This window comes from Homo sapiens, chromosome 2, assembly GCF_000001405.40.
Source record: "Homo sapiens chromosome 2, GRCh38.p14 Primary Assembly".
Taxonomy (NCBI): domain Eukaryota; kingdom Metazoa; phylum Chordata; class Mammalia; order Primates; family Hominidae; genus Homo; species Homo sapiens.
In genome coordinates this window covers 158,200,711-158,220,747 of record NC_000002.12, presented here as the reverse complement: position 1 = coordinate 158,220,747, position 20,037 = coordinate 158,200,711, and the positions used below count along the sequence as shown (strand labels likewise).

Genomic DNA, 20,037 nt, shown 5'->3' with positions numbered 1-20,037 from the left:
TTAATTTAAATTTTATGTAACATTTATACAATAGATAAAAAAATACTGGGCCAAGAAAAAACAGAAGTGGCAAGAAATGGAAATGAGAGATCTTCAGCGTCTAGAAGAACTGAAGAAATTAATCGCTGAACAGTCACTAAAAGACAGAGAAAGGTAAAAGAAAATTTAAAATTGTGTGGTAATGGAGGTGGTGAATGGAGTCTTTTGTAAAGTGTTAGAATAAATAATATCAGAGGGAACTTTTTTCTATACTTAATGTATCCTTTCAATATTTATATTCACAAATGAATACAATGATATCTATGATGCATTTTAAATTCTCATAGTCATACATGAACCTCTGGTTTTTCATTTTGTTCCTTAGATAGCTTCCTAGTTAAAACCCTCACAGAGGATTTGATAGTATTTGATTACCCACTGTGTGCATAAAATGATACTGGCTGCTGCTGTAACTATCTCTTGACCCAGAAGGAGGAAACCATTATTCAAATAAGAAGGAAGACCCATTTACTGTGACGGAGGCTGGGGAAGACAGTACACAATTATACAGTGCTGTGTGGTGTTTATTATAACATACTTAGGGCATGCCCAATACATGAAAAAAATCTGGAATTTCCTAGAAGTATGTAATTTTAGATCTGGAAAGGACATTTGAGATCAAGTAGCCTAGTCTCCTCATTTTACATATGAGTACAATAAGAGATTTAAGTTATTTTTTCCAAAGTTACTGTATCAGTTAGGGTCAATTAGGAGACAAAAAACATATAGTAATTTGAACAGGGTAAGTTTAATAGAAAAAATGATAAACTCTAACAGGAAATCCTTTCTATATAAAGAGATAAATAGCATGCTAAAGAATACCCTAGGGCTGAAGGAGGGTTCCCTTGGAAGAAACACGTTTGGAACTGAGGAGCCCTCTCCACGGTTGGGATTCACACCTTACTGTGGAAGCTATGGTTATGACCCTCTGAATGGTGGAGAAGTTCTTGGGTGCGTTAAGATAGAGCTAGTTCAATAGTCACTAGGCAAACAGGGAATACCCAACTTGGATGCAGGCAGGCCAAAGCTGGAAGCCAATTATTGAGATGCTTGCAAGGCTTAATGGAAATCTGACCATGGAAGTACTTTTGAAATTTGATGGGACTGACCATGGGTGTGCCATTGGAACTCTGTGGACACAGCAACACTTGTGTCCCCTACATGTGCTGCTGGCAGCTGTATGGTAGGAACAAGAAGGCATAAACACACAAACCAGGAAGGAAATCCCCTTCCTCTACAGTGTCCTTCAAGCAGCCTTTTCTGACACTGCTTAATATTTTGCCAGTTGTAGGGATAGATAGAGGGTCCACCTCCATTTTCAGAGAGCAGACAATGAAGGGTGGATTTAGAGCTGTGAGACATTACATTGATAACTGGCATAGTTATCTAATTTAGCTAGCTCCTTAGTGATTTTCACCAAAGATAAAGAAGAGAGAGCTCTCATTTCATAACATAAATCATAGTAAATTTCCTCTAAATAGTGAGCTTCCCTGATACATTTACCTAAGTTAGTCGCTGTAAAAAAATTTCCTGGAACTCTATACTTTCTGCTTAATTTCACTCCGAACCTAAAATCGCTATAATAAATAAAGCCTATTTTGAAAATTGCCCCTCAGACTCACATATAATTTTGGAAGGCATAACCATTTGATACAATGAGATTCACTTGTATCTAGGAAGCTTCCTTTGTGACCCATGTGACTGTTATCTCAAACTCTAATCACTGAGGTTGTAGATTGAATCTGGAGTTTCAAATAGATGCTAAGCATTCCTAAGGATTTTCTGGACGAAATGCACATTATTTCCCAGGTAGCTCAGGATTTTAGAGTTTAGTATAATCTGTTACTGAGAGAACTGAGAATATAGCAAAGCCAGGGCTCGTGGTTAGAAGGTGAAGCCACCAATGAGAACCCAGATTAACAAACACAAACCAAGACCTAAGTGGATACAGGCCATGGGTCAGAAACAAGTAGGTGGATAAGAATTCCCAAACAGCTAAATACTAAAGGGCAAGGCAACATCTGGTTGATCAGTCTAAAGCTATCCTACCAGAACAAAAGAGAGCCACAGAAATTAAAAGGAATGGGGAAAACAGAACAGATATGTAGTTCCAGCATTAGGATACAGGCTTCCACTAAAATTACCCCTCATAGTCAGGGAGCTTCTTTGATTACAGAGTCATTTCAGTCTTTTGCTTCCTGTCCCAATAATTATCAAGATTAGCTGATTCAGAACTTCAGTTTGAAAAGAAGAAAAGGAAAATCAGATTAATCTGCATTACATAAAGAAAAAAAATAAGCATATTATAAGATACTAAAAAGAGTACTAAAGACGAGGAGCCAGGAGACCAAGGTTTTAGTCTTGACTCTTCTTTGAATTGTATATGACCTTGGGAAAATCTGTCATTTCACCTCTACAGGCTCTGTTTTGTCCTCTGTAAAGTTGAACTGGATAACTTCTGAGGACAGAGTTGATCCACTTTTAAGGGCCTATGATATGTTTGTTCAACTCGTATGTTAAAATGCTGTAGATTCAGATAATTATGAGTCCAGTGCTTATTTGCCAGTGGAAAATCAGTGAAAAAGGCCTTTAAAATATCAGGATATTTAAGACATATAATTCTCAGAAAAATTTTTATAATATTATAGATGTATATTCCTCATTTTGTGACTTAGGGAGATAGAATTCAACATACAAAATTGCTGATAGTTTTTGCTTTCGATAGTAACCAGAAGTTGTCTTCTTTCATAACTGCATAGCACTAAGAAATTCGGTTGATTGGTTAAAACATTTTTCTGTACTACTGAAATACAATTCATAAACCTTATGTTTGATATTTTAACTACGGACACTTTTTTTCCGTATCAGAATAAGGTGGCTTGAAGCAGTTTCCAGAACTGTGTTCAGAACACACACACATATCCTTGAGGGTTTGAAAACTTCCGTCATTTACTTCCCTTTTCTATTTTTAAATTCTAAGATTATATTTCTTAAAAACAATATTCGACCGGGTGCGGTGGCTCATGCCTATAATCCCAGCACTTTGGGAGGCCAAGGCAGGTGGATCACAAGGTCAGGAGATTGAGACCATCCTGGCTAACATGGTGAAACCCTGTCTCTACTAAAAAAGTACAAAAAATTAGCCGGGCATGGTGGCGGGTGCCTGTAGACCCAGCTACTTGGGAGGCTGAGGCAGGAGAATGGCGTGAACCCAGGAGGCGGAGCTTGCAGTGAGCTGAGATCGTGCTACCGCACTCCAGCCTGGGCAACAGAGCGAGACGCCATCTCAAAAAAATGAAATGTATGTGTGTGTGTATATATATATATATATATACACACACACACAAAATTTTATATATATATATATATATACACAAAATTATATATATATATATATACCTACATAAATAAAATGATAGGTTGAACCACATAAAATTCCATTTTTGTAGGTCAAAATGGTTGAGTACTGGCAATTTCATGTGGTTCAACATTAAAAAAAGACATAGAAATTGTTTTATTTATTAATCACATTTACCTTCTCAATCTATTAGAATATGTCTTTTGCCCTCTTCATTTTATCAAAATTGTTTTTGCCCAAGTTTCCACTAACCTCCTAATACCCTGCTTTTATTTCTCAACATGCCATTGAGATTAAGAGGGAAGGCTCTAGAATCGGTTGACATTAGAATCCTGGCTCTATCCTTTATAGCTGTGTGATCTTTAGATGAGTTATTTAACTTCCCTGTGCTTCAGTTTCCTCATCTGTACCTTGAGGATATAAACAGTATCTACTTCTTAAGATTGTTGCAAGGATCAAATGATACATTGAATGTAACACATTCACTGCCTGGAACACAGTTAAGTATTCATTAAATATAAGCGATTCCTATCAATTGACTTTTACATCACAAAATACTAATGTATTTTTTCTCAAAATATTAAAGCAAGAAGGCCACACTTCAAGCCAGAAAGAGAGCCCTCACCAGAACCTAACCATGCTGGCACATTGATCTTGGGCTTCTAGCCTCCAGAATAGTGAGAAAATAAATTTCTGTTGTTCAAGTCACCCAGTCTATAATATTTTGTCATGATGGCCCAAGCTAACTAATACAATGGTATTATATTATTAAATGTATTGTGCTTTTTTAGCCAGGCATGGTGGCACGCACCTGTAATCCCAGCTACTCAGGAGGCTGAGGCAGGAGAATTGCTTGAACCCAGGAGGCGGAGGTTGCAGTGAGCCGAGATCATGCCACTGCACTGCAGCCTGGGCGACAGAGCAAGACTCCGTCTCAAAAAAAAAAAAAAAAAAAAAAAAAAAAGTATTGTGCTTTTTGTTGCTGTTCTTAAAGATTTTTTACAGTACGTATATATAGGTACATTTTAAATGAATATTTTTAAAAATATTTTAAATAAAACATGTAAAAATGAGGACATTATTATAAAAATTAAAGTTAAAGCAAAAGTGCCCTTAACCACTACCCTCATGTAGTCTCTTCTCTAAAAGCCATTGCTTTTATCATTTTTAAATGCATATACATGCATGCTATCTATTTTATATGTACCTATATAAAATCAAGTTTAAGAACAGCAACAAAAATCACAACACATTTAACAATATAATACCACTGTATTAGTTAGCTTGGGCTATCATGACAAAATATCATAGACTGGGTGACTTGAACAACAGAAATTTATTTTCTCACTATTCTGGAGGCTAGAAGCCCAAGATCAATGTGCCAGCATGGTCAGGTTCTGGTGAGGGGTCTCTTCCTGGCTTGCAGAATGGGGCCTTCTTGCTGTGACTTCACATGGTGAAGAGAGTTAGCAAGTACTTGAGTGTCTTTTCTTACAAGGGCGTGACTCCCACCGTGAGGGCTACATATCCAAATACCATCACATTGCGGGTTAGGCCCTCAACATATGAATTTTGAGCAGACACATTCAGTCTATAGCAACCATTTGTGTAAAAAAAGCATTTATGTATGTACAAATCGACTATTCACTACTAACTTCTATTTATAGGTTGCTGCTGGCATATAAGTCCTTTGTGCTAGTTAGAAAAAGGTGCAGCACACCAACGTGGCACATGTATACATATGTAACAAACCTGCACATTGTGCATATGTACCCTAGAACTTTAAAGTATAATTTAAAAAAAAAAAGAAAAAAAAGAAAAAGGTGCCTCCTTCTGTTGGCATGTGCATATTGCTCCTACTACAAGTGGACAAATTACGAAAAGACTCCCTTCTGAACCATGGCATACAGCTTGACAAGCAGAGGCAAAGCTGGATGTCATACTTCTTTTGTATCTCTGGGTCATGGGTCATTTTTGTAGAGCACAAACTTCAAAATGATACATGGTATCTCTGCAAATAAACCTACCTAATTCTTTTAAAATAGTATATATTATTCATATTTCTTCTAAAATTTAGTTCTGTAGCCATCTGGAACTTATTTTAATGAGTGATATGAGCTAAATTGTTCTAAATTGATAGCCAACTATCTCAACACCAATTATTTAATGATTCATCTTTACCCACTGATTTAAAATGCCACCTTTGTTATATGTTACATTTCTAATTATACTTTTATATCCATATGGACTCTTGATTAGATTAAAAACTGATCTATGTTTATAGTTCTACATTGATAGTGTCCTGTTCTAATTATTCTGTTTTGCTATCTAGTAGAACAAGTGTTCACTCATTGTTCTTTTCAAAAATATCTTAGCTATTCTTATGTCAAATTTCACTTAGAAATGTTGTTGATTTTTTTTGTATTGAAATTTTATTAAGGAGAGCTGACACGTATACCAAATTTAATCTCCAGCCTGGGGACATGCTTCCAAATAGCTCTACAGCTCTAGACTTTTGCTAGATCCTTTAGAAAAGTTCATCTTTTTTTTTTTCTGGGGAGGACAGAAATTATTTTTGAAATAGGTAGAAATTGGTGACCAAGAAGCCAATTATAAGTTTCCTTCAGTAAGCTCTGTGAGAAAAAGTATCTGAACTAAGGAAGTGACAGCGGGAAGCAGAAGTGCTACAAAAGCTGACAGATGTGTGTGCAGTATTTACATGAGTTAGAGTTGATGACTCATGTCATCAGGGTTGGAGGCTAAAGGAAGACAAAGAATGAAACATGACCCTGAATATTATTGTGCTTTTTCTGGCCTCTTGGGTTGAAAGCTTTAGTTATTTTATTTTCAATGTATTTTATTTCCTAATCAATTCACTCGACTATAGTTTTTATTTTCCTGTTTATTTTTGGCCATATTCTACAAAGTTTGAAATATTGTGTTTTTATTACCTAATTTCTAGTAGTTTTCATTTCATTTTTTATGTTGCAACAATAAATTGGTGGATATTGGGGTGCTTGCCACAGGTAAGTTTCAGTTTCATTGATTGTCTTGTGATGGGCTTCAAATTGGTGAGCAAACTGGATAGCGAAATGTATAAAAGTTAAAATGCTAATCAAAATATGAGTATTAAGTGAAAGATACCTTTAGTTTTCTTGGGTAACAAATGACAGTCTTCAAAATAGACATAAGAATGTATCTTTGTCTTTTTTTTTTTTTTTTTTTTTTTACCACAATGTTTATTCTTTGTGTTCTTTAGTTTCTGTAACTCTATGCTCCAAGTTCCTTTCTAGCCATCCCAAAACGTTGCCACTTAGCCCTCATGGTAATTTTTACCCAAAGTCTTCTCCCCCTCCCCCTACCCCACCACTGCTGAAAGCTAAACTGTCTCTCTTTCGCATGCAGTAGTTGTTCTTTCTTTTCAGCAGGGCACTGACTGCACTTCCTAACTAACCTTGTTGGGACCAATACTGGTGCCCTGGTCACTGCAGTGTAGAGTTCTCTACAGCTGCAGTGATACTTTGATGTATATGTTTATTTTGTTTTCAGGTGTTTTTAAACACTTACCCTGTTCCCAGAAACTTTCTTTACTGAGCATTCTTTATGTTGGGTAGTGAAAGATTCTACACACAGGGAGGAGTAGAAAGCTAGGATATGTAACGGTCATATCTCATTTGTTGTATATCTTTAGCATCACTGCTTTCTATTATCAGTGACTGTTGCAGAGCATGCAAGCAGAAATTAGACCATTCTTCCAAGCACAGGGGCCTTTCTCCCCTTTACATTATGACATTTTGAAAATGCTTATTACAATGTTCAATCTTTGACTTTTCTGAAGTTCAGCTCTGTTGTAGTTAACAATCTTATTCCTCTGTATTTGCCAATTATTGCTTTAATAAGGATAATTATATTGTGGCCTTTCATCTACTTATCTCCATTGCTGTTTCTTATAATTTAATAAATAGCTTGCTTTTCTCATTTTACCTCCTTTGTGCTAATTTTAATGTTTTAAAAATGTTTTAACAATATACTCCAGAAGATAATTTTAAAGATCTCTAAAAGCAGATTTACTTAGCTAAGGAGTTCCTCTAGATATCATTTCATGACCAAAAAAACTGAAGTTGGGTACAACCAACAAATGGATGCTACAGGTTCTAAGAACTTTATCAGTCAATGCTCATGTAACACTAGAGCAGCTGTTATTCCATTCTTTGCTACATTAGAATCACTTGGGGAGCCTTTGAAAGTCCTGATGCCCAGGCCAGACTCCAGACCAACTAAATTCATATCTCTGGGGAAAATTCTGACCCCCACATTTTTGGGAAATTCTTAGGGGATTCTAAAGTGCAGCAAAATTTAAGAACCATTGTACTAAAGTTCTTTCTACACTTTCTCAAGTATGGGCCCAAAGTCACCTACTGGGTTCTTGAGACCATTCCACTTTTTGTAGAAATGCCCATAATTTCTCTTTTCCTAGACAGTACCCTCACTGAGCTCAGAGAGGTCATATAGGTGAAACTTATATTCATGGAACAGTTTATCAATTCTAGAAAACCACTTCAAGTAAAAATTTTGCGTGTTATTTTTCTAACAACCCAGTTATGTGTATGTATGTGTGTGTATGTTTAGTGGAGAAAACGTTGCTTTCCACAGTACAAAAAACAAAAGCAGCACTAATTTTAGGTTATTTTTTCCCAAATAACAGCATTTTCCTGTATTGTAAAACAGTAAACATTTGAAGTTTAGGATGTCAATGACCATTTGGGAAGGAAGAGACTAGAGCCAGCTGCCTTTCTAACACTAAATTGGCCTTGCGAATCTAGTGTGTGTTTTGAGGTCCTTGCCAACATCAGAGAATTGACAGTTATTGCATTTTCTAAGTAACAAAGCCAGATGTTTCTCTCTATTTTCCATGTCTTTTCTTAACAATGTGCAAATTTCGACATGTTGTATTGGAAGGCATTAAGGAAATTTAAAGTGGGTTCACAGTCTAATGTTTGAGATCTTTAAAGAGTATGTTTAGTAAAGTGACTTAATCAGAAATTTTTACAAACATTTGTCATGTTTTTGCTTCTCAGCATGAGATTTCTCAAAATTAATGGGGATGCTCTTGTTCATTAAGTCTCTGTCAACCAAATCCCCATTCCAAGTGGATGTGCCAAATGATATAGTCCAAAGATCACTGTGAACCATTAAACAAATACAGTTCTTAATAGGACTGTCTGTTTTGTATTTTATATGTATATTAGAAATGTTTTGCAAATTAGCAGTAACTTAAGACATGGAAAGAAACCTCATTGGTGGCCAACAGTAATAATAATAATAATAGTACTTATGACCTGCTTCTCAGTATAACAAAACAAATTGTGGGAGATGTGTGTGTTCATACATTGGGACATGGATACACAGATTATTTGGATATTATCATAGTAGTTCTTGAATGGAGCTTAGCTAAGCAAGCATGATTGACAGAGAGGATAAGAAATTCATGGACAAAGCAATATATAGCAATTTTGATGTGAAAATGAACAAGCAAGCTTATGCCTGTGGGCAAATGGAGCACCAGCTGGGCAGAGATGGCACAGCTGAAGGTCATTCAAGAGGTCTTGGATGATGATTTAGCTCCTGATGACTGTACATCAAGTTGACTGTACATCTCTGGTTCCTTCCAAACCACAAGCAATTGAAGCATGTCGTTTGCTGAGTAGTTTAGGCTGCTTTTACTTTGTTGTTTACAACTTTGATTTTTGATTTGGAAATCTTGTTCATTTAAAGAGTTACTGGATTTTCGTTGTGTGCTAAGTTGATCTGTCTGTTGCATTTACTTGTTCAGGTCAAAAAATGGAATGTCAGCAGGTATGTGTCTGGTAAAGGTCAGACAACAATCAGAAATACTTTAGAATATGTTTTTTAATGTATAAAATGAGCATTATTACATCCCTTTATGCCCACCATTATTTTTGTTTCATATGTATGTGTCAATGAATTGACCACAGATGCTGTAATTCCGAATAGAACATCTAGGTGCTGTGATCTTTTTGAGAATCAATTATCTCAAATTCTCCTCTTCAGTAACACAGACTTTTATTTTGGTACATAACTAGTGCTACAGATATTTGAAAGTTTTTGTTGGAGCATTAGGTTGTTTTCTTTCTTTTTTTTTATTATTATACTTTAAGTTCTGGGATATGTGTGCAGAATGTACAGGTTGGTTACATAGGTATACACGTGCCATGGTGGTTTGCTGCACCCATCAACCCACCGTCTACATTAGATATTTCTCCTAATGCTATCCCTCCCCTAGCCCCCAACCCCCAAGTAGGCCCTGGTGTGTGATGTTCCCCTCCCTGTGTCCATGTGTTCTCATTGTTTCTTTTTTTTTTTTTTTTTTCGAGACAGAGTCTTGCTCTGTCGCCCAGGCTGGAGTGCAGTGGCATGATCTTGGCTCACTGCAAGCTCCGCCTCCCAGATTCACGCCATTCTCCTGTCTCAGCCTCCCAAGTAGCTGGGACTATGGGCACCTGCTACCATGCCCGGCTAATTTTTTTTTTTTTTTTTTTTTTGTATTTTTAGTAGAGACACGGTTTCAGCATGTTAGCCAGGAGGTTCTCAATCTCCTGACCTCGTGATCTGCCTGCCTCGGCCTCCCAAAGTGCTGGGATTACAGGTGTGAGCCACCGCACCCGGCCTTGAGTGAATTTCTTAATCTTGCATTCTCATTTGATTGCACTGTGGTCTGAGAGACTGTTATGATTTCTGTTCTTTTGCATTTGCTGAGGAGTGTTTTACTTCCAGCTCTGTAGTCAATTTTAGAGTAAGTGTGATGTGGTGCTGAGTAGAATGCATATTCTGTTGACTTGGGGTGAAGAGTTCTGTAGATGTCTATTAGGTCTGCTTGATCCAGAGCTGAGTTCAAGTCCTAAATATCCTTGTTAATTTTCTGTCTCATTGTTCTGTCTAATATTGACAGTGGGGTGTTAAAGTCTCCCACTATTATTGTGTGGGAGTCTAAGTCTCTTTGTAGATCTCTAAGAACTTGCTTTATGAATCTGAGTGCTCCTGTATTGGGTGCATATATATTTAGGATAGCTCGCTCTTCTTGTTGCTTGGATACTTTTACCATTATGTAATGCCCTTTTTTGTCTTTTTTGATCTTTGTTGGTTTAAAGTCTATTTTATCAGAGACTAGGATCGCAACCCCTGCCTTTTTTTGCTTTCCATTTGCTTGGTAAATATTCCTCCATCCCTTTATTTTGAGCCTATGTGTGTCTTTGCACGTGAGATGGGTCTCTTGAATAGAGCACACCAATGGGTCGTGACTCTTTATCCAATTTGCCAGTCTGTGTCTTTTAATTGGGGCATTTAGCCCATTTACATTTAAGGTGAATATTGTTATGTGTGAATTTGATCCTGTCATTATGATGCTAGCTGGTTATTTTGCCCATTAGTTGATACAGTTTCTTCATAGTGTCGATGGTCTACAATTTGGTATGTTTTTGCAGTGGCTGGTACCGGTTTTTTCTTTCTGTATTTAGTACTTCCTTCAGGAGCTCTTGTAAGGCAGGCCTGGTGGTGACAGAATCTCTCAGCATTAGCTTGTCTGTAAAGGATTTTATTTCTCCTTCGCTTACGAAGCTTAGTTTGGCTGGATATGAAATTCTGGGTTGAAATTCTTTTCTTTAAGAATGTTGAATATTGGCCCCTTCTGTCTTCTGGCTTGTAGGGTTTCTGCAGAGAGATCCGCTGTTAGTCTGATGGGCATCCCTTCGTGGGTAACCCAACCTTTCTCTCTGGCAACCTTTACACCTATATGCAGAGGTAAATGCTTTGCAGGTCTTCCACAGCAGCAAAGGATGCTGTGTCCTCCAGTACATCACACAGTATTTGTGAGTGATATGGAGGCAACCATTATATACTTTATTGATGTATTGATGTCTTTATTACTAACTTCTTAGGGAGTTTTACTAAGTAGTTTTAAGTAATGAAATACTGACCTTTTGGGCATAAACTTTGCAAAGATTTTATAAAGCTGCAGGGCTAGGTAGGCAGAAACTTAGCTGGTATAGGTTAAATGAAGGAAGGAGAATAAAGCCATGGATTGGGAGAAATAACATGGTAGCTTTTACAATATGCCACTACCCTGGTGGATACCATAGAACTCCAGGCACTTGAAGTTTATTCTTTTGGGGGACTACCCCTGAAAAAAAATATGTATGTGTAAAAATATATGTTTATGTTTATTTATATATATACATACATACACATGTATGTATGTATATATAACATATATTTATGTTTATTTATAAATATACATACATAAATACAGCCATCAGATGATATTAAATAAGAATTAGAAGGTTAATGAAGGGAGCATGTTTATAATCTGGGTTTTTTTAAAAAATATATTCTAATATAAGTTTTACAGCGTCATATAATTTTGAAACTGGGAGGAATCATACAATGCATCTAGTCCAACCTCCTTGCATTAACTAAGGTTTTAGCTTACAAGCAACAGAAATCCTTTCTAGTTAAATTTTGTGGTAAAAAGATTTTTGTGGAAAGATATTTGAGTAGCCCACAAAATCATCAGTTAGGCCACAGACCCAAGCTTAGCAAACTGTTGGGAATAATGAAGTCTGGGAAGATAGAAAAGAGTCAGGATTGGAACCCAACTCCCTTCGGAATTATCCTCTTAAGTTTAACCATGACTACTGGACCTCATGGCGTGCCTCCTCCCCTGTGGTCTCATGACATTGGGCATCTCTGCTGGCAACACTGCCTTTGTTCCTGTTCCTGTCGTGCCACCCTGCCCAGGGCCCTAACAGCTCCTCGACAGGCCCTGCTTCTCTGCACCACTGGCTTCTGAGTGCAGCATCCATAGGGCAGAGCTCAGGTCCCACACTCATGCTCTAGCTGCAGAGGAGGCTGGGAAAGCAAGCATCAGGCCTCAGCTTACAGTGGGGATTTCTACAAAGGAGGAAGGGGGCTCAGAAGCGAGAAAAAAGAAAGAGAACACCTTCTACAGTTCACAGCTTTAGTTAGAAAAATCAACACATACCCTTCTTTCTATACCTAAAACAGCAAAAAATTTGCTTCCACCTAAGACTGTTGTTTTACCTTTTACAACCCAAAATGTACTCGCTTCATTCCCAAAGGGAATAAACTTAAAGTCTCATTTGTTACAGCATCCAGTTCCAAATCCAAGATCCCTAGGGTCATATCTTTTTGCCCTATCATCCTCTCATCTTGTCATGATCTATCTTTATATTCCATGACCTGTGAATGGAATTTTAAAGTTCACTACCAATAACAACACCTCATGTAAAATAGTATGGAAAAGGGAGGTGAAGGAAGTGAACAGAAAGTGTGTGTGTGTGTGTGTGTGTGTGTGTGTGTCAGATCAAAATGAACACCTTTCTGTAAGTGGTCCTTGCTTCTGCAAATTTGGTCAAGATCACAATTCAGATTTATAATTTCCCTTCTGTACTGTGAATTACGTATGCCCATTGCTTTCAGCCAGCATCTTGACTGACTGCAGTTCTTTACTCAATAGGTTGACTCCTACCTTAATTTCTGAAGGACTTGCTTGCATAGGTTGACTTTTATCCCTGGCATACAATTCCATAAGGTGTCCTAGGAATTCCTTGGATTTCATCTGCTTCTGCCTGCCTGTATTAAATTATAACACTCCTATTTCCCATTGATAGGTCTATTGTTCCAACCAACACTGTACCTTCTTTTCTGTCTGTTTGCTTCATGGTATGACAGACCCCAAAAGGTAAACATTTGCATCAGATCTTAAGTCAATGTAACCATTGTTGTCCTCCGATGGAAGCATTAGAAGTAAAACCAGCAGAGCCTGGAGTCCTGGGGATGGGAAACAGAAATTTTATTAAAGGATCTTTGGGGTTAATTGTGAAAAGCACCATTCCCACTTGTATTTAGTGGTACAATTATGTGCATATTCTGTCTTTGTGAGAAATAGCACCATATATTGGTCACTAATCAGAGCAAAATCACTTCTTATAAAACAGCATTGAACCTCAGAAAATATTGCTTCCCAGTTCGTTCTGTAGTGGAGTCTTCAATTGGCTATCTGTCGTCTTATAAGGACAGCAGTATCCGGGTGATGCAGTGAATGCCTGCGCTTCAGCCCATTCCTCTACTTCTACACAGTTAATGGACTTCCTTAGGAAGAAACAATGTCTTGTGCGATACTATGGATACACAGTTGGCCCAAAAACAGTGTATAGTGAAAGAAAATCCAATTATTTTTTCTGTCCTTTCCATAATAGAAAGTGGTCGATAAAGTATTGGAACTGGCTAAAATTGGCTGATTCCTTTGGGGTATTATACCATGTTAAGGACTCACAGTTACAGTAGTCAGATTAGCCTTGATAAAAGCAACTGACATGGTTGAGCAGTCCGTATCTCCTGTTCCCCATCACTAGGAGCATTTTATCATAAGCCCATTGAGCAAGTGGCAGGTTGCTGGGGAAGAAGACTGATACACACATAGTAGGCCATGACTCCCACCTACTTCTTTAAAATCACCTATATACAATACATGGGCACTCTGGACTAATTCCAACAATTTTTCAGGGACTTATTTTCACAATCCTCCAATCTTATTCCTTCAGTGTCCCTAATCTACTGGCCAAACCATTAGCTACTGCCCACAAAATGTTATTAATCCATATTTTATTCATCTATTAAAAAATATTTGCTGAGTACCTAATATGAGCCAGTCACTAATTCTTTACATGAGGTAAAGTGAACATGGAAATCATCCTATTGAAATTACATTTGCATGGTAAATTTCCCTCCTCCATCCCCTTTCAGGGACATTTCTGAGCAGGGCCATCAATCTCAGCACTCTGCTTCTGTCTGGACCAGTGCATGTGTAGATCCAGCTGTAAAACTGGCTCATTTTTTCCTTTCTCCAGAGGGTGCCTTAGGGGCTGTGGGTGTGGGTTGAAAGGATGCTGCTGTGGCAGGAGTGGCATGCTGAGTGGGAGCTGCCTGTCTGTGTAAATTACTTGGGTCTTAAGGCCCATTCTACATTCGTTTAATGAGTTGGTACTGCTTAGGTACTCCTAGAAGCATCTGGTGGCTCAAGTGACACCCAGCTCATTGGAATAGCGATGAGTCTCATTGTTACCTGGTATCTTAAGGTCAGGAGCCAAACTCTTGTTTATGAAACAGAGGTTAAAAAAATACATACCTTATATGGTTCTTGTGAGGAATAAACACACTAAAACATGGAAAACACTCACTACAATGCCTACCACATGTATCTGCTTGACAAATGATAGTTATCATAATGATCACCAGGGTCCAATAGTGATTCAAGAGCTAGATCTTAAAAGAAAAATTACAACTTGCAAAGAAGGCATGATTGTGCTGCAGAACCCTGAGGGTCTCTACTATGCGAGAACCTATAAAGGTTTTGACATGCTCTATAAGACATTCTAGTTACCCAGAATACACCGGGGCACCAGTGAACCCTCTGCATCAAGGACAAGTGGCATTGCCATCTGCATCATGGCCTGGACCAGCTGGACAGCTTTCTCTTGTTCTGACCTGTGTTCATACTGTTAGCTGTTCAGATCACTCACTAAACTGACTGGATAGGCATTCCCAAAAGCTGATTTTGCTACCTTCCAAACCTACAAAGAATCATCTGGCATTATGATTGTCTTTTTTAATGTGGAGTAAGAAAATCTGTATTAAAATCCCTATCTTACCACTTCCTACCTCTATGACCTTAGTCAAGTTACCTATGTCTCTGGACACACCCAAATGATTGTTAGCAGAATTAAAGGAAATGATGTATATAAAGCACCCGGAGTACAATACACACTGTTACATTCATTTCTCTCTACACCCTCCTCCTTATCTACAATGTTTAGCCAGCTGTCTGGGGCTTTGCCATATGGATGTCTCCCTGGCACTTCACATTTTCCATGCCTCAGATAGAGATATTCATTGCTCTCTCCACCCTGTTCTTCCTCCAGCATTCCCTTTTCTGTAAATGACAACAGGATGTACTCACTGCCCAATCAGAAGCCCAAGGTGACTCTTCCCTCTCTTACTCCCCACTCCTACAGCCAAGGGCTTATTAAATTCTGTGAATTTACCTTTTGAATATTGATATCCTTTGCTGTCACCCTGATAGGGCCACCATCCTCTCACCTGAATTGCAGCCACAACACCTCACTACTTCAGCCTTGCCCCAAAGCAAACACAGCTAGTCATGTCATTCAGATACTGAAAACCCTTCTGTGGTTTTTCTTCACACTTTGGGTAAAGTTCAGATGCCTTAATGTTGCCCATGGGATGCCCATGGCTGGACTCCGCTTAGCTCTTTAATCTCTCACTGGAGTCCTGCCCCTCCTACTCCTCTCCAGACTGCTGGGCCCTGCCAGTTCCTGGTAGATCCACTGGGTCTTCAGATGGATGTTTCTTCTACTGGGAACATTCCTGTGGCTGACTACATTCCTGTGTTCTTCATGTCTCTGCACAAATGTGACTTCCTCAGTGAGACCTTCTTTGGCCTCTTGTTGAAGTTATGTCTTCTTGGTGTATGTTTTCATGATGCCTGCTGAGATGAATTTGGACAGAGTCAAGTATTTTGACAGGGCGTGGAGAGGATGGTTTTTCTCTGCTTCATAATTTCTGGAGTTTGAGCTTGGAGGACTTGAATGGCAGGGGAGGGGAATAATCTGATGTCTTCTTTCGTCTGGGCTGAGATGACTAGAAAGCTGGGGGTAGCTGGGAACTGTCATTTGGAGCTTTGCATGGTCTCTCCATGAAGCTCGGCTTCTTCAAAGCATAGTGGCCTCAGAGGAGCCAGACTTCCTATATAATGCCTCTGAGCTCCAGGAGATTGTCTTCCAACAAAAAAAGGCAGAAGCCTTATAGCTTTCATGACTTAGTCTTGGAAATCACATAGTGTTATTTCTGTTTTATCCACTGGTCAAAGTAATTATAAGGCCCATCAAGATTCAAGTAGAAGGCATTTAGATCCAAACTCTCAATAGGAGGAGTATCAAATAATTTGTGATCCTATTTGAAAACCACCATAGTGCCCTTTTCCTGTACAGTCTTAACGCTCATTTTGTATTGTAATTACTTGTTAAATTTTTATCTTCTCCAGTAAACTCCAGTAAATTCTACGGAAGTGGAATTTGCATCTGTCTTCACCATCCTACCTTTGTATCTGGCACATTGTAGGTAACTCAATCTCAATAAATATTCATTGAGTAGAGGAATCTAACTAGAATAAACCACTACTAGACAAATGGTAGGGCCTGATTTGTTATAGTTGAATGAGTCACACTTGTTTTAGTTCTGTTTAAACTACAGGAATAAGGAATTGTCTCTTGGTTATTTATGTTTGCCTTTTTATTCTAAACAAAGGAAAGAGTACCATCTCAAAATTGTCAAGCCTGAGTATTAAAGATCATAAATCTTAAAAGTCATCTAGTTCAATGGTTTTAATGTTTAAATCTCTTCCACTTCTCTACTAAGTGTTCCTACATTTCATACATCCTAGGTACATACGCATCTCCTGATGTTGAACTTGCTATCTTTGAGGGCAGTATATTTCATCTTTTGATAGCTATAGAATTTTTTTCTTTTCCTTTTTTTAATTCCTTTATTTTTTATAGTAAGCTCAGATCTGTCTCTTGTACACATTGGTCCTCCTTTTATTGTTTGAGACCATGTGAAACAAATGTAAATCTTTCTCCTAACAAACTTTTAACATTGAGGATATTGTCTCTTTCTCTTTCCCCATATCTGTCTCCATCCCTATAAGGTCTTTGTTTTGTGAGTTCTTTTTGGAGGGAGTATGCTTTCAACTCATTTGCCATTAATAGTGGAGAAGAGTTTAGGAGGAAAATCCTCACTGGCCAGAGGACACCACCGTGATGATGCCCAAACATCGTGGTTCAGGATCACTATGGCAGTATTGTTAAAGGATATAAATTATTGCAAATAAAGCTTATTGCTTAGGAAGTTATTTGTATCAGTATCTAATATACATTTATTTAAATAAGACGAATTCATATCTGAAAGCAAACCCATTTTATTGCACAGATAAACATGAGATTGATCTGTCAAGGTAAAGACCTCAAGGCACAGACAGTGGGTAAGGTGGCTTCACTTGCAGAAGGGAGCAAATAAGACAATGCTCTCCAACTCTAAGTAGATGCTGGACTAACAGACCAAGGTTCCAGTTACCATTACTTTCATTATGACTCCAATCACACTGATTACAAACTTGAAGCAAGCCTCCCTACTTACAGCAGCTCATGGACTTCTTTAATCTTGGAGGTCTCAGAGGACTCTCCTGCTCTCTGCTGAATGGCTTAAGAGTATAGTGCTGCTCAGACCTGTCACACCATCTAAGAGAGCCCCTTTCCTTCACCAAAGTTAAGCTAGGCAGCTAAAGGGCAGCCAACACAAAGATTCAATTTTAAGTTTTCCCTTTTGTTCTCTGGGTTAGTCCATATCTGGCCCTCTGCCTGTTTTTTGTATTGCCTGCAAGCTAAGAATATGTTTTTGCATGTTTAAATGGTCAAAAAAAGAAGATAAAAAAGAATTTGTGTTGTGTAGAAATTATATGAAATTAAAATTTCTGTGTCCATAAGTAAAGTTTTATTGGAACAGAGCCAAGCTTCTTTGTTTGTCTCTGGCTGCTTTCGTGTGCTGCAGTGACAGAGTTGAATAGATGCCAACAGAGACTGTATGGCCTGCAGGCCTGAAATATTTATTATTTGGCACCGTTTCCACAAAATGTGTACTGACCCCAGGTCTAGCAGGATGGTGGAAGAAGCGGGGAACATCAGTATTGCTGCTTAAAAGCAAAATATTCTTACATACTTGGGTTCTATCTCGCCTTTAGAAAAACTTAACTGAAATGAAGGAAAGCTGAGAAAACTTGACATTCTATTAAACCAAAGACACCATTCTCATCTGATTGCATTCCTTTCTGCCTATTCACTTCCACAGTATAACACTCAGAGCCTTATGTATGGTCTGACCCTTCTGCTAAAACAGAGCAAACTTATAAGCTTCTTTCCTCAAGATACATACGTTAATTAATTTTGCCCAAAGTGGGAAAGTGATTGTGCGTATGTGTATGGAACACTTTAAAAAATTCATATGGAACAATGACAATATTTTTCTTTCTCTCCCACCTTTTTCTCTAAATTTTAATTATTCATAAAATTTCAAGCAAAGGAAGAGTTATAAGAATAGTGCAAATAATTTCTACCCAGTTTTACTAATTTTTAATATTTTGCCCGATTTGCTTCATCATTTCTACTCTCTCTCTCTACCTTCACACACACACTTTGTTATGCCATGCCATTTGAAAGAGAGTTGCAGACATCATGACACTTTATCACTACATTGACATGAATTAACTGAGAATAAGGACAATTACGTACTTAACCACGATACCATTGTGATACCTAAGAAAATGAATGGTAATTCCATAATATCAATTAGTATCTAGCCATATTCAAATTTCCCCAATTGTCATAATAATGTTTTTTTAACCCCTCCCAAGTAAGATAATATAACCATATGAGGAAAAAAGACTATTTTAAGTAACTTTTGAAAACTCTGGGCCAGGTTTGGTGGCTCACACCTGTAATCCCAGCACTTTAGGAAGCCGAGATGGCTGGATTGCTTATGTTCTGGAGTTCCAGAGCAGCCTGGGCAACATGGTGAAACCCTGTGTCTACAAAAAATAGAAAAACATTAGCCAGAGTTGGTGGCGTATAGCTGTAGTTCCAGCTACTCAGGAGGCTGAGGTGGGACGGTCACTTGAGCCTGGGACATGGAGGTTGCAGTGAGCCAAGATCATAATACTGCACTCCAGCCTGGGTGACAGAGTGAGACCCTGTCTCCAAAAAAAAAATAGTAACAAATAAAAGAAAACAGTAATCTGTATACATTATTTGGATATATTCTTAGGGAAAAAGTACTGGAACGAAATCCTAAACTTCACTGGTTAGGTTTATTATTATTGGTAACACTGGTATTGAGACTTCGAAATATTTACATATAAATTGACATATTAATATTAACAGGACTAGGACTCAGTGTAAAAGAAAAATACCAATATTAAATGAAAATTTCAAAACGGTGATATTAAATATAAAATGAAAATATAATTAAGAACTTATAATTTTTAAGTAAATTTTTCTCTCTCTAGAAAGCATCACAGTAAGGGAAACAATGACACTCCAGTGGCAATGAGCCTACCTAGTATCTAGGTACTGATTTCTAGATATTATTTCCCACCTGAAGGAACAGGGCTAATTGGGAAACAAATGGCTGATTCCAGGTCTGGGGCAGGGAAATTATGGGGTGAGTTTAGGCTATTTTAATGTGTCAGCTAATAAATGCTGAAGAAATGATAGATTTAGAAAATAACATTTTTTATTTCCTAATGTAATAATTCTAGATCATCAATGGATGGTGAAACTTTTAGGTAAAGAATTTTTCAGAAAATTGGACATTTACACAGAACCAAGTATAACTCTATGAATTACTAAATTAAAAGGGAAAAAATATGCCTTTACAATGGAGAGAGCTGACTATCGCTACCTTAACCAAGTGTA

General features: G+C 37.8%; 1 protein-coding gene and 1 long non-coding RNA gene across 3 annotated transcripts in view, besides 1 other annotated feature; one reads left to right on the top strand and one right to left on the bottom strand.

The window, feature by feature from the left end:
• The window catches only part of CCDC148-AS1 (CCDC148 antisense RNA 1), a 69,520-nt gene that overhangs the window by 15,422 nt on the left and 34,061 nt on the right, over nt 1-20,037 (bottom strand). The window contains exon 4 of the long non-coding RNA NR_038850.1: nt 13,131-13,264. This is a non-coding gene — a long non-coding RNA (CCDC148 antisense RNA 1). The remainder of the gene's footprint in view (nt 1-13,130; nt 13,265-20,037) is intronic.
• Nucleotides 1-20,037, top strand: part of CCDC148 (coiled-coil domain containing 148) — a 285,681-nt gene that overhangs the window by 236,006 nt on the left and 29,638 nt on the right. For both annotated transcript variants that reach the window (NM_001301684.2, NM_138803.4), the window contains one exon: nt 35-153. In NM_001301684.2, the coding sequence (NP_001288613.1) occupies nt 35-153 (119 nt within the window). The remainder of the gene's footprint in view (nt 1-34; nt 154-20,037) is intronic.
• Nucleotides 17,785-17,985: a silencer, noted in NCBI's record as "peak3910 fragment used in MPRA reporter construct". NCBI's record gives its function as "represses an SCP1 promoter by STARR-seq MPRAs in K562 erythroleukemia cells {active_cell/tissue: K562}" and the evidence as "EXISTENCE:reporter gene assay evidence [ECO:0000049][PMID:32103011]".